A 13,866-nucleotide genomic window follows, 5' to 3' on the forward strand; every position below is an offset into this window, starting at 1 on the left:
CAAATCCATCACGTTTGAGGTGGATTGCCGAGGGGCTTCGCCTCTGTAGCAGACCCTGCTCTTAGGTGGGGAAGGTTTGTGTTTCATTAGGCTCCTACAGGAACTTTGGGTCCTTTTCCTGCTCCTGGCCTCAGTTTCTCCATCTGTAAAATGAGGAGGAGGTGGGTGGGAGGACATATAACTTGTAGACCCAATGTTATATGGAAACTAGGGTCCTGGGATTGAGAGTTTTTAACCCTGACTGGGAACCATCATCCCTGCAGCATGTGTTAAATGCAGGTTCCTGGGCTCAGGCTCACTAATCAGAGAATCTCTAGGGTAGGGCCTCTGAGTGTACATTTTTGGGGCAATTTAGAAAAGGGAGATTAAATGCACAGAACTCCATTTTGAAGTACACAGTTCAGTGGTTTTTAGTATATTTGCAACATTCTGCAGCTGTCACCACTCCCTCACTCAAATGCCCCGAGAGATTCCAATTGCTGCCGGTCCCTCCGGGCAGCCCTACAGGTGCATGTCCTGAGGCATTGACTTGGACCCTTATGTACAGAGGCTACTGAGGCTGCAAGGCCGCTCTCCTGGTTGGGGTTCCCTGCTGACAGCATCAGGTTTTCAGGCCCTTTATGAGTGAAGATGAGAACTTTCTGAGAGGAGGAAGCCAGACTGGGGGAGAGATTGCCCTGTTTCCCTGCAACTTTCCAGGGCAGCGGAGGTCTTGCTGCCTTTCCCTGTCCCCAGTGCCCCACACACTGTGAGCAGGCGGGTAGTCACTTACTCAGAGCTAGTGACCTTTTAAGCCTCAGCATATGGAATTCTTGTGGCAATTTGAGCATCTTACAGCCACGACACAGGTACAGTGGTGGCTCCGCACCCTGGAGAAGCCCCTCTCCCCTTTCTCAGCCTACTTCTCATGGGAGTCAGCATCCCCTCACCGCCCTGAGCGCGTGCCCTCTGGTCCTTATAATCCCACCAATGTCTGGTTTCCCTCAGAGCAACTTGGGGTACCTGGAAGCTTCACCCCTAACAGACAGGCCTCTGTGAGGGTCACAGTCTTAGGGCGCGGGAACAAGTTACTTTCATTCCACCTTGTCAATGAAAGGGATGGGCTTCTTCCCAGTGCGCCTGCCCTGGCTGAGGGTGTGTCTGGTGGTCTTGGCCAGGACACTCACCCTTGGGTCTCCCTGGCAGTGAGACCCTGTACAAGATCCTCTGCAGCCTCAATGTTTGTGGTCTTGAGGCCCCATGAGGTCTAGCCAGCCCCTCTGGACCGTAATTGGTCGCTCTGAAAATGGGATTCAGCCACAATTGACCCCATTTTTGGGAAGGAGTAGCTGATTGGCTACGTACTCCCTCATAATGAAGCTCATGGCTCTCAGGGTCACCACCAGCATTTCTGACCCTGTCCACAATCAGCACCCATTCCCAGGCCCCGAGCTGTCCTTAAGGAAGCCAGGGAGGTTGGTGGACGTTGCCTTTGCTTAGACTGCCCGCTGCGCTCCCTGGCCTGAGGCCTGGCTTTGTTTCTGGGCTTGGGTGCTCTTACTGGGTTCTTCCCTTAATCTTCAGCCCCAAAATCTTCTCCCTAGAGTCCCCCACCTGGAGTCCAGCATTCCAGAACAGCTGCCCTTCCACAGTTAGCATGTGGTGGTGGTCCGTGCCCTGACCGTGTGACCGTTCCCTCTGTGGGCCTCAGTTTCCCCCTCTGTCAAATAACAGGTCCTTTATAGCCCCGCCCTGCCATGTGTCACCCTGCCCTTGATGTGGCAGCTGCCCAGGGAAGGTGTAGTGAATGGATGGATGCTCCCACCAGCCAGAGACCCCTCCGGTACCTTTTTCCTCGTGGGATCCTGAGAGCTCCCTGCAGTTTGCAGTGAGAGTGGCAGCTGAGTTTTCTTTCTAAGAAGAAGGGTGGCTCTGGGCTGGGTAGTTATCTCCCAGGGCACCCCCCAATAAGCCAGTCTCACAAGGCTGACTCGGACTGCATTCTCTTGGAGTAGCTGAGCTTGAATGGTGAGGAGGGCCCTCTGGGCTGGCATGGAGTCGGTTTCTGCATCTGTAAAATGGGTACATACCTGAAAAAGCTTTTGTGAGTGTAAAATGAGATCACGTATGCCCATACCTCGTCACTGATGCCCTCATTATATAGAAAAGAGGCTCTCAGAGATATTAAATGGCTTGTTCATCCAGCCAGTTAGTGAAGGAGCTGGGCCCAAGCCCTACCTCAATAGCATTTCCTCTTTCCTTTTTTTTTTTAAAAAGCAGTACGTGATTCATGTGGATCATTTAGAAAACAAGAAAAGCACAAAGGAAAAACAAATTACCCTTAATGCTACCACCCTAAAAGAAAATAATTATATTATTCTTCTTAAAATTATTTGGATGTTATTTTTCCTGTCATCCTTTTTCTTTGCAAAATATGGGAAGTAGAAATGGTCTCTATGCAGCCAAATGAAAAAGTTCATATAGCTGTTTTGTAGCTCTTTTCTCTTAGCAATACTGAAAACATTGTCTTCAATTCAACACATAGTCTGTGATTTTTGATGGCTGCTTAGTATTCCATGCCATATTTACTTAACCAATCCCCCAGGGCTGGATATTTAGGTTGTTGCAGTGACTTTTTTTTTTTAAAAGAAACTATCATAAAACATTGCCGCTTGGTGAGCATCTTATGTCTTTGTGCACATCATTGGTGACTTCCTTAGGATATGTTCCTAGAAGTGGGATTGCCAGGTCAAAGGCCACACACATTTAAGGTCAGAGTGCCCTCCGGAAAGGCTGTATCCGTTTTCTCTCTCAGCTGCCCTGGAGGAGAGGGCCGGGATCCTGTAACTCACAACCCTTTGCTATTTCCAAACCACGAGCCCAGAAAGAGTCGAAAAAACAAAAACCGCGGCTCTGGGAGCGACTTCCTGCCAGAGGAAGGGAGGCATTTGGTAAATAGTCCACTCCCAGTTTTTGAGTGAATGCTGTGTGGCCTGCCTCGGGCCAGGCCATCTGGGAATGCACTAAAGAGTAGAGACCAGGTCTGTGTCCTCAGGCGGCTTCCATGTGCCTCAAGGGGGAAGATAACACGTGTCAGGACACCTGGCAAACACCTGGAAGGCCACCGGATCCCAAGTCCAGGCTGAGGGTGGGGCCATGGCCACCACTTCCACTCCATCCACCTCCGTCTCTGGCACCTGCTCAGGGCCACGTGGACTAGACGTGCAGTGAATATTTGTTGAACAACAAAAAGCAGTGTGTTACCCACAGAAGCTGATTGTGAACTCCTTAAAGTAAGGTTTGAGTCTTGTTCATGGCTGGCTACACCCCCTAAGCCTAGAGCCGTGTTGTCATAAATACTTGGCCAAATGAACAAAGGCTCTGTGGGACCAATGAATCCAAGAACGTTGGTAGAGTGGTCTAGATCCCAGCAGGAAAGTGGGATAAGCCAGTGTGCTGCCCACAGCCCTCATCGCCAGTCCCTCTAGTGGGTGCTAGGAAGAACTGGGTGGGGAGTCTGGGCTGATTTCCTGTCCCCAGCTCCTATGGGACCTGGGCAATTGCCTGACTGAGCCTCAGTTTTCTTAAGGGACTAGACTTTGTTCTTGGGGGCTCCTTTCTGGTTCTTGCCAAGAATCTGGGTGCCTGTGGTCAAGATGGGGACTGGGAGAGGGTCAATTGCCAAGAATTTAGCCCTATGGGTCCAACAAGCCTGCCCCCCACCAGGTGACCTCTGGCCAGAGGGTGGCTGCTTTCCAGCCCAGGACCCTGCCCTCCCCAAAACCTCTTAGCAGGACCCTCCAAGGTGGCTGGTGGCACCCCCAGGGGGTATGGAAATAAGGTGATCCAACTCTTCCCTGGCTGCCCCTCTGTTTTGAATAAGGTTGTGGATTGTTTATTTGAAAGAAGAGAGGCCCCAGCCACACATCCTGCTTTTAAAATCCGGAGTTCTAGCTGAGCCCTCTAGGCCCTGAGCCCCCTACCCGCACTCCTACCCCAGGTCCCTCTTTCACAGCACCCCCACCCCAGCTGGCATGTCTTCTGCCTGGCAGCTCCAGATGCCCCTCCCCCAAGAGAGGACTCTCCTCACCCCGACCTGGCTTCCTGGGCCCCACTTTTAAACAGCTCTCAGTGGTCTTCTCGCTCCTGTTCTCTTCTACTCCTTTCCCTAAACTCCCCTTCCCCACGGGTCAAGGGGAAAAGGGCTTCCTACTCCAGGAGGACACTTTTACATTGGCACAAACACCCATCTTAGATGTTCTTTGTATTTTGGTGATCAGACTACTGAATCTATTTTGTTGATGAGGACACCAAGTGTTAGAAAAGTGATGCTGCTTGTGCAGGGTACGTGGCACAGCAGTGGCCTGGCATAAGACCCAGAGTCAGGCTCCCCCCCAAGCTCTGCCTCCGGCTTGCTGTGTGACCTTGGACAAGTCCCTTTCCCTCTCCGGGCCTCAGCTTGCTCACCCACAGAGTGAATGGGTGGGTGGTAGATGCTCTTTGAGTTCTTTCCACCTCTGTTTCTCTTTCTAGATAAGAACCACATGGTGTGAAGTGAGGAGGACCTTTCAATTCCTCTGTTTTCCCCTGAAGTCCTGTGGTACCCCCTCCCTCCCTTGTCCCCACTTCCCACAGCCAGTTCAGAGCCAGAGACAAAGGCCTGTTGCAGGCAGGTGTGGCCATTAGGGATGTGTACTAGTGCCTCGCTGGTGGGCCCGGATAAGAGGCCGAGGCTCCCCAAGCATCAGCCAGAGGGTGCTGGGGTTGGGGGAGATGGAGCAGGCTGGCACTGGGCTCACCAGCCTCTGCCCACCCCTTCTGGAGCTTCCCCAAGCCCTCCGATACAGGTGAGGGAAGGTTTCGTGATAAATGCTAGACTTGCTGAAAGGGACATGGCAGCTGTGCAACTTCGGTGACTCCTGTCCTATTAATCCTTTGTGAAGCGGGAGTTTTCTGGCCCCAGCAAAGCTGGAACCCTCAAAAGGCTGCATGACCCATAGGCTCTCCTCCTCCCTCCTGTGGGGCATGTGGGACGTGTGGGCTGGGACGTGTGGTTTAAAGGTCTGGAAGTTAAAGGTCTCCCTCCCTGGCGAGCCAGCTCTTTGTTCCACATCCTCAAGGACCCTGACTTCAGCCTATTGTTCCCCCTGCTGACACAGAGGCTCCAAGTTCCTCTCTGGATTTGCTCTAGGGGGGTGGGGGGTCCTGGTGTTGGCCGTGGAGGCTGGGGATTTGTGCATACCTGCTTATTAAAAGTCACTCACTCATTCAGAGAAAAATGCTGTTTTGAGACACCCTCTTGCATGTGGGAGGCTGAGACAGTGACTGCTGAGGTTTTTGTATCCTGAGTTTTGTCAAGCTGAGGCCTGGACACTTTTGGCTGTGGCTGATTTTGTGTCCCTGGTGGGCACGATAATCAAACTGCTCAGGTGACCAGGTAGGGTGAGGTTTGATTTGACAGCAGCTGGCAGAGGTAGTGCAGAGGGCTCGCTTCTGGACTTGAAGTTACAGTGACCCACAAGTGAATCCAGCAAGTCTCCCAGCTTCATGTGATTCACAGACCCTTCAAATCAGAGTTGACCATGGGGGAATAATTGAATCCCCCAGAGTTGGGGGCATGATCCAGGGCTCCAAAGGGTTAATCTTGTTTTGAAGTATTAATAAGGGAAGAGTATGTTTGAGTGACTTTCTGGGATATTGTGCTTTTGGACATTTAGTATGTCAGTTCTTGCTAGAATAGCACTAATACATAAATTTCTTCTGGCTTGATTTTCATTTTACAAAAATAATCCAACTAATCTAATTGATCCAGTTGATCTTCCCTGAGAGGATCCAGCCAGGAGGACAGAAATTCTTATCTCCACATGGCAAGTGGGGAAAATGAGGCTTGGCCAGAGGTTGCGTGGTTTGCTGTGTTTGCATGGCCAGGCCAGCGGGATATGGATGGGCCATGGGCCTCTGGCTGCCAAGGCCTGGCCTTCCCACCACACCTGCCCTTCCCCATGAGCGCCTTACCTGCCGGTGCTAAGGAGCCTGGCTTTGATTTGGACTGCCTCCGTCAGCAGGAGGCTCTGGCCAGACTCTGCTTCCCCGTGGGGAACTAAGCCTGCTCCTCCCGGCTGGTCTTTGTGGGCCCTGGCCCCCTTCTCTTCTGGGTGTTCCCTCAGGGCGTTCAGGGGCTTCATGGTCAGGAGGCTGGGAGATGCTGATTGCAGAGCCCGCCTGGCATTGGCACCACCCCATCTGCCTACTGGCATTGCTGCTTCTCACCTGAAGCTAATTCCCAGGTAGTTTTTAAGACTAGGTTAGCCTTCCTCGGACACTGACTCCACGGTTTCCCCCTTAGTCATACCTACCTAGGATAATTGGAAAATGAGGAGTGTAAATTTGATAGAGGTTGAACGAAACACCTGCCTTAGAATGCAGGGCCAATGCAAATGACTTGGGGATCACTGGACATCAGGGATTGTCTGTGGTGGTTACTTATGCTCTGGCCACCATTTCGTCAGGACTGACAGCAGCCATCTGTCCCTCGTAGGAACCCTTAATCCTTCCCATTCTCACCCCTGCAGAGATGGCCTAAAGTCTTCCCTGAGAGCCCTTTGCACCCCACTTCTCTTTCTCCGGCATGAGGCAGTGGCTGGGGGCGCACACAGCCACCCCCACGCCCTAACTTGCCCCATTGTAGCCAGACCACTCCTTCCAATCATGAGCCTCCCTGGGCTCCATAAATCATCCTAAGAGCACATTCCTTGGGGGATTTGTAAAATAATCAAAATATTTGGGGAAAAGACCTTAAGATTACTTATGGCTATTAGTGGGATCCATATATTTTGGCACCAAGCATGGCTTAATTGAAAAAATATGTGTGCTTGGTGATTTCTTCCCATTTTTTTTTTTTTTTAAATAAGGAGTAGCCCCAGAGAGAAGAGTGGTTAGGCAAAAAAATAGGGAGGAATTAAATATCAGAAGAGTTTGTGTGGAGGAGCTGTTTACAGAATTGTGGAAAATATAATGCTAAATGGAAAGTAAGCCGTGCCTGTATAGTCCGGGATTATTAATAGAGCCTAGTTACCACGCACATAATGAACCTTTTAAGAGACCTGGGACAACTTTCCCCTTTGCAAAACAAGTTTCCTTCAAATAGCACCATTCACGCAGCTAAGGGCATTGGGTTACAACAATAAATAAAAATGAACAGTGCCCTGAGAAATTCAAGGAATGCACAAACGTTTCAGTGATTTAGTATGAGAAAACACTATTTAAACATTTAATTGAATTGCATACTTTCATCTTTAAAACGTTAGCGTTTGAACTGCCACCTGAATCTCCCTCTCTTCACTTCATTAGATTGCAAGGCCCTTTCAGGGGAGGGAGTTCCTACTCTCCTGCCCTTCCCCAGGCTTTTCCCCTTCCCTGCTGTTCCCTAACTTGCTTTTGCCCAAGACTATCAGGAAAAGGAGACTCGACGGGAGTTTCCTTTTAAAGCTATAGGGAGAGACTTGGATGAGATGTGCTCTTCCAAATATTTTATTTGCCAGGACTTGATATGAGCTGTAGATTCCTGGATCAATCACCACCCCTGGGGACTCAGTTTCTCCTCAGTTAAATCAGGAATTCAGATTAGAGAACTTTGTCATAATACACATGCCCGGTGCCCAGTCTAATTCAATTGGTTCCCCAGGTGCTTCTGTTGTGCCTTCTTGGTTCAAAATTACCAGAGTGGGCTGGGTGTGGTGGTTCATGCCTGTAATCTCAGCACTTTGGGGAGACTGAGATGGGCAGATTGCTTGAGCACAGGAGTTCAAGACTAGCCTGGGCAACATGGCAAAACCCCGTCTCTACAAAAAATACAAAAACTGGCCAGGTGCAGTGGCTCAGGCCTGTAATCCTAGCACTTTTGGAGACCAAGGCAGGCGGATCATGAGGTCAGGAGTTTGAGACCAGCCTGGCCAACATGGTGAAACTCTGTCTCTACTAAAAATACAAAAATTAGCCAGGCATGGTGGTGGGTGCCTGTAATCCTAGCTACTTGGGAGGGTAAGGCAAGAGAATCGATTGAACCTTGCTGGCAGAGGTTGCAGTGAGCTGAGATCACGCCATTGCACTCCAGCCTGGACAACAAGAGCAAAACTCCATCTCAAAAGAAACAAACAAACAAAAATTAGGCAGGCGTCGTGGCATGCACCTACCCAGGAGGCTGAGATGGGAGCAAAGTTGAGCCCGGAAGGTTGGAGGCTGCAGTGAGACATGATAGCTCCACTGTACTCCAGCCTGGGTAACAGAGATCCTACCTCAAAAAAACAAAAAAATTTAATGGAGTGGAAGCTCCAGAGGGCCCTTGCAGGTCTAGGAAACTAGGGGGCAGAGACACAGCGATCATTGGGCACTTCCTGTGTCCAGTGAGCTCAATGCATGGTGGAAGGTGCCTGGTTGAATCCTCCTGGGTCCAGGGACTCTGTGATTCTAATCTCGGCTGATACCTACCCAAGGAGGACTGACCCCAGGTGGCACCCCCTTTTGTGTGCCAGAATCGAGTCTTTGGGCATGGACAGTTGTTCAGAGTTGCTGGGACAGTGGAGCCTGCTGCAGATTGGATTTGGCTCTGAAGAGAGAAAGGGAAAATCATGTGTCCTCAGCACGTTTTCCAGCCCTGGCGAGGTTTTGTCCTTCCAGATTAATGTGTACACATGGGAAGCACACACAGCCCTCACACACGTGTTCTTTCCTCAGAGATTAACCAGTGGCCCTGTATCGATTGCCAGCTTACCTTGTGGGCTGCTGTGGGGGACGCAGGGGGCCTTCTTTGCAACCCTGCCCTGGAATGGTTTGAAGTCTCTTTTTACAGATAGATAGCAGAGCAATGTGACCTTGGGCCAGTCACCACTGAGTAAGACAGAGACATCAAATCTAGACACCTAAGAAAACCCCCTTGGTACCAAACCCCTCTTTCTTTGTGGGTATCTTCATAAACTGTTGCATATCTTAGCTCCGAGTTAGACTGGGGGTGCCTTGAGGACAAGGACAAGTGTCCTTCTGTATGCTCAGAAGATTGGGACATTCCATGTGGCCAGTGAATGCTCATTGAATGACTCATCCGAATTTCATTTTGCTCCATTTAAGGGAACATCCTCTGAGCCCAGCCCTGTACCTGGTGTGGGGTACAAAGCAGACCCAAGCCTTGTTCTCACAGTGCTTCCCATCTTTTGAGGGACTTGGACTTGGCTATGGTATGATTTATTTGGTGCCAAGGGGCAGTTTTCCCAGGAGCAGACCTCGCACCAAAAATTCAAGTGCCCGGTTTATTGAGGCGGGGGGTTGACCAGGAAACAGCAGTTAGGAGAGTGCTGGGAAGGGAAGAGAAGGGGCCAGTGTAGGTGGCATTATCAAGCCAGCTACTTCTGTGGGCAGTCGGAGCCGAATCCCGCTGGGAACTTAGGGAAGCAATACAGAACTCACCCCTGCTATCCTCCTTATGGGGTGAGGGAGCTGGGATATTAATCCCCCACTCCTGGTGCATCTGTTCCTGGCACTTCCCAGCACTCAGGCAGAGCAAGCCCCTAGCAGGCAGGGCGAGTCCTAGGACAAAAGCAGGTGTTGGCATTTGCATGGAATTGGGGGCTGAGGGGATGTGAGCAGAGCGCCGGCAGAGGTGTTTGCTGGGCCTCCACGTGCTAGGCCATGAGTAACCCAGAGACACCCCCACCCCCTGCACTGGTCTCCTAGAGCAGTAGTTTGTTCTAAGGAAAGGAGAGCCCAGCAAGCCCCTGCCTTTTGGAGAACAAATACTGAGAACGCCCCGTGCCTGAGATTCTCTGAGTAAAAGCACTTTGCAAAATGTTGAGCCTTATTCTGCAGGAAGTCAGAGGGTGGTGGTGGTGGTGATCATCTTTGCTCTGCAGAGAGGGCTCAGACCTGCAGGCTTTACCTCCTACTCCAGAATCCGAAGGTGGGGCCAGTCCCAGCTCGGCCTCTTGGTAGCCCGTGGCTCTGGTGAAGCTGCTGAACCTACTCGCCCACCAATTGTGAGCCTTGAATGGTAGTCCATGAACAGTGCCTAGTGCTTAGTGCATAGTGGATGTTCAGGACTATTCATTCCCACTCCCTTCCCTTCCAGGCTGATAGTGCATGCCCTCCCATGGACCTCCCATCAGGCTGTGAGGTGGCACGCTGGGTGGGTCTATTGCTGCCTCTTCCACAATGGGAAACTGAGGCCCACAGGAACTAAGACCCAAAGCCCTGGCCTCCTGAGCCCCTAGTCTACACTGCTTTCCTGACGTGGCAGGCCTGTGTCAAGGTCAATGCAAAGTGTGAAGCCAGTGGTGGGGAGGAGGTGACTGGCCATGCTCTGGCTGTGGCCCTCACCCCGTCTTCAGTGGGTCATTGTGCCAGATGTTTGACTCACCAGAGCTTGGATGTCTGAGTTGTCCATTCTACCCCCCACACCTGCATGGTGCCAGGCACAGAGCAGGATGTCAGAGCTGGAGGGACTTTGGCGATCAGCCAGACCAAACCTTTGTTTTGTTGAGAAGAGGAAACAGTCTCAGAGACACCAGTGACTTCTCCGAGTCACACGGTGACTTAGTGACAGCCAGAATTGGAGTCGGGCCTTGGAGGGCCAGCCTGCCTTTCCTCCTACTCCTTCCGTAGGAAGCTGCTATGTAAGGTATGTTTTATTATAGTTGCTTATAAACATAATAAAACCCCCTTCATTTAATGGCACCTTTTTTTTTTTTTTTTTTTCAGGCAGTTAATAATCCAGCTTTTCAGTTGCTCCTCAGGGAAACCATTGAGGGAGGTGGAATGAGAATTGCCCACTTTCAAGCTGAAGTCATTGAGGCCTAGGAAGCTTTTCTGGGTCTCAGGATTCCCAGGACTCTGGGACTCTCATAGGTCAGGACGGCTGAGGCCAGTGCTGGCAGCTTTGCCTCTGTGGGGGGCCCTCCCCACTTTCTGACAGACCACAGATACAGGAGGAGATCCTCAGGGGAGAGCCCCGGGCTCATGCTCAGAAGATTCAGGTTCAAGGCCAGGTCTTGTGTTGGCTCTCTGTGTAACTTTGGGGGGTGTTTTGAGTTCTTCCACTAGGATAGATGGTCTTGTGTCACTCTACCAGCTCTTGCCTCTGTTTTCAAAATGCTCACAGTTGAATGGAAGCAGACTCACAATTTAAAAATACATACATAGGGCTGGGTGCAGTGGCTTGTACCTTTAATCCCAGCACTTTGGGAGGCTGAGGCAGGAGGATTACTGAGGCTGGGAGTTCGAGACCAGACTGGGCAACATAGTGAGGCCCTGTCTCTACAAAAAAAAAATAATAATTAAAAATTAGCTGGGCGTGGTGGCACATGCCTGTAGTCCCAGCTACTTAGGAGGCTGAGGTGGGAGGATTGCTTGAGCCCAGGAGTTTGAGGCTACAGTGAGCTATGACTGCATCATTCGCTCCAGCCTGGGCAGCAGAGTGAGTCCCCATCTCTTTAAAAAAATAATAATAAAAAAATACAGAAAGCTTTTATAAAAATCTGAATATTTTGCTGTGGGAACTCAGCAGAATTGCCTAGGTAAGTGTGGGAAGGCTTCGCTGAGGAGGTGATGTTTGGCACAGGAGACAGCAAGGGGCATCCATGGAGAAGGTACAGGGGGACAAGGGTAACATTTGCTAAAGGCATACATGTGCTGCATGCTTTCAGTGTGCTGTCTTACTGAATTCTCATGACATACAGCTCTTGGAAGGTTGTTTCATTATTGCCATTTTGCAGGTGAAGTTGAAGGGCCCCAGAGAGGGGAGGAGGCTTGTTTGGGGTCTTGCAGCCCAGGTTTTAAAGTCCCTTGTCTTCCTTCCTCTTCTCCACAGCCTCCCATGCATTTCCCACAAAGGTCCCTGAGGCCTGATGAGACCCTCCCAGTACTTTTAGGATCTGGGATGTGGGAAAGGTGATGGGTCCTGTAAGAGGGTGTGCCCAGGGAGGGGTGGGGACATCCCAGTGCCCATCCCAGCCTGCCCTCCTGTCACCCCAGTCGCAGGGATCTGGGCAGATGTGGGTCCTTGTGCGTTGGGCCATCTCCAAGGAGCCCCAGTGGCACCTCCTTGTTCCTGTAACGCTCAGCACTGCTGCTCTAGGCACCATCTGTTCTGTTCCCTCCTGCCTCGGCTCCCTTGGGTGGCCTTTTGTAAGGGTCTTATTTCTGGGCCTGAGTCCATTCCATAGATGGAGAAACCAAGGCTTTGAGAAGGGAAGCGACTTACTCAAAGTCGTACGTACCATACTAGGAACTAAGCAGAACTAGGAGTGAGCCTTGTGGCTCCTCTAGCCTTCTGCCATGGTAGGAGGGCCAACGGGATCTAATACTTGCTCCCCACCTTGCGCACCTCAGGCCTCCCTTCCTCAAAGATCCTCATTGAACTTGAAGAGGAAATTTACATTTTTTTTTCTTCCTCTTCTTGCCGGACTTCATCACTCTTTTGGAGATTTAGGTCTGAGGGAAACAGCCCCAGACAGGGAGCCAGGACTCCTCGGTCCTGGCTCAGGGGTGCCCCAGCTGGATGACTCGGGTTTCATTTCCTTGCCAGCTTCCTGGCATTGCCTGCCCTCGGAGGCCCCAAGGGGCAGTGTGCAGGGTGCCTGGGAGCTCAAGTTCAGATGTCACCTCTACAGGAGTGACATGTAGGTGGGTGGTCATGGGCTCATCTGCCCTGCTTTGTAAAAGTAAAAATCCCATCTCAGGATTGAGTTAAGAATATACATAGTAAGTGCTCCATGAATGGGTGCTATGGCTGCCTGGTCTTCAAAAACAGGGGCATATTTCTCATTCCTCCGGTCTCTCCACCTGACTCTGTTGTATTCTCTGGACTCCTTCAACCTCTGCCACTCTCAGTAAGTGGGCCAACCTCTTGCTTGTGCTCTCAAATTAAAGCCAGGGGTCAAGCTGAAACTTATCCTTGCAGAAAGGTCAGACCTTTGCCTGGCTCTGGGTGTCACTGCCTGGGGAATGGGCAGGCTCTTCCTGTGCTGCAGAAGACTGGACCGAGCTTTGCGGTATTCAGGGGTTCATACTTGCATCTTCTAAACAGCCTCCTCCGACCACCTTCCACTTGCACGTGGACATACACTGTTCACCCAGGTCCCTTGTGTGAATTACAGCCAGTGGTACCGGGCAGGAGCTCAGTGAATGCGTGTGCCCATTTTATTTTCTGTCCCTCAGCATTGATACTATGCGGTGGATAGGATTCATTTATTCTCATTTTCATACCATTTAGTGATTTCTCTGAGTGCCTTCTATGCTGGGCTTTGTAGGGTTATGCAGAATGAATGCCTACTAGCTGTTCAGCACAGAGTTGGGCATTTTACGTAGAGTGTCTCCCAGAATCCTTATAACCATCCTGAGGATGGGATATGATTAATTATAATCCCCATTTTACAGATGGATTCACTGCAGCTCAGAGGAAAGTTACCCCAACAGGGTGGGAGCTAAAAGTCCATTTAAGGCAACAGTGAAAAGGACAGAATGAGGCTTTGTGGCTCCTAGCAGAGGTAGCAGAGGGGTGCTAGGTAAGGGGAGGCTGTGTGGGCTGGGGGTGCTAATGTGTCTCAGCTCACCAAGCAGATAAGATTCCAGTAGGGGCTGAGGGATAGGCTGCTTTATTCTTATCTGTAATCCCCTCCTCTACTGCTTATTTGCTGTGTGACCTTAGGCAAACACCTTACCTTCTCTGGGCCTGTAAATTACTGCACACTCTCATACGGTCCATATTTGTTTTTTTTCTAGAAACTAGCAGCAGATCAGTTGTGTGCAGAAAAAAAGCTGTTTATTGGTTCCAGTGCTGTCTTTACCCTTCAAAGCCTTCCTAAGGGTATGGGGGTGATGGGGAGGAGTCATGGCCCACTA

General features: G+C 50.8%; 1 protein-coding gene across 3 annotated transcripts in view, besides 3 other annotated features; it reads left to right on the forward strand.

Annotated features, from left to right (window-relative positions):
• Window positions 1–13,866, forward strand: part of SMAD6 (SMAD family member 6) — an 80,614-nt gene that overhangs the window by 39,102 nt on the left and 27,646 nt on the right. The window lies entirely within an intron of this gene.
• Window positions 1,224–1,724: an enhancer, noted in NCBI's record as "H3K27ac hESC enhancer chr15:67034899-67035399 (GRCh37/hg19 assembly coordinates)". NCBI's record gives its function as "activates a minimal SCP1, AML or CMV promoter by ChIP-STARR-seq in primed H9 embryonic stem cells {active_cell/tissue: H9 hESC(primed)}" and the evidence as "EXISTENCE:reporter gene assay evidence [ECO:0000049][PMID:30033119]".
• Window positions 3,184–3,809: an enhancer, noted in NCBI's record as "H3K27ac-H3K4me1 hESC enhancer chr15:67036859-67037484 (GRCh37/hg19 assembly coordinates)". NCBI's record gives its function as "activates a minimal SCP1, AML or CMV promoter by ChIP-STARR-seq in naive H9 embryonic stem cells {active_cell/tissue: H9 hESC(naive)}" and the evidence as "EXISTENCE:reporter gene assay evidence [ECO:0000049][PMID:30033119]".
• Window positions 4,894–5,188: a silencer, noted in NCBI's record as "tiled region #14210; K562 Repressive non-DNase unmatched - State 10:DNaseD". NCBI's record gives its function as "represses a minimal TATA promoter and a strong SV40 promoter by Sharpr-MPRA in K562 cells {active_cell/tissue: K562}" and the evidence as "EXISTENCE:reporter gene assay evidence [ECO:0000049][PMID:27701403]".

This window comes from Homo sapiens, chromosome 15 (assembly GCF_000001405.40).
Source record: "Homo sapiens chromosome 15, GRCh38.p14 Primary Assembly".
Lineage (NCBI taxonomy): Eukaryota > Metazoa > Chordata > Mammalia > Primates > Hominidae > Homo > Homo sapiens.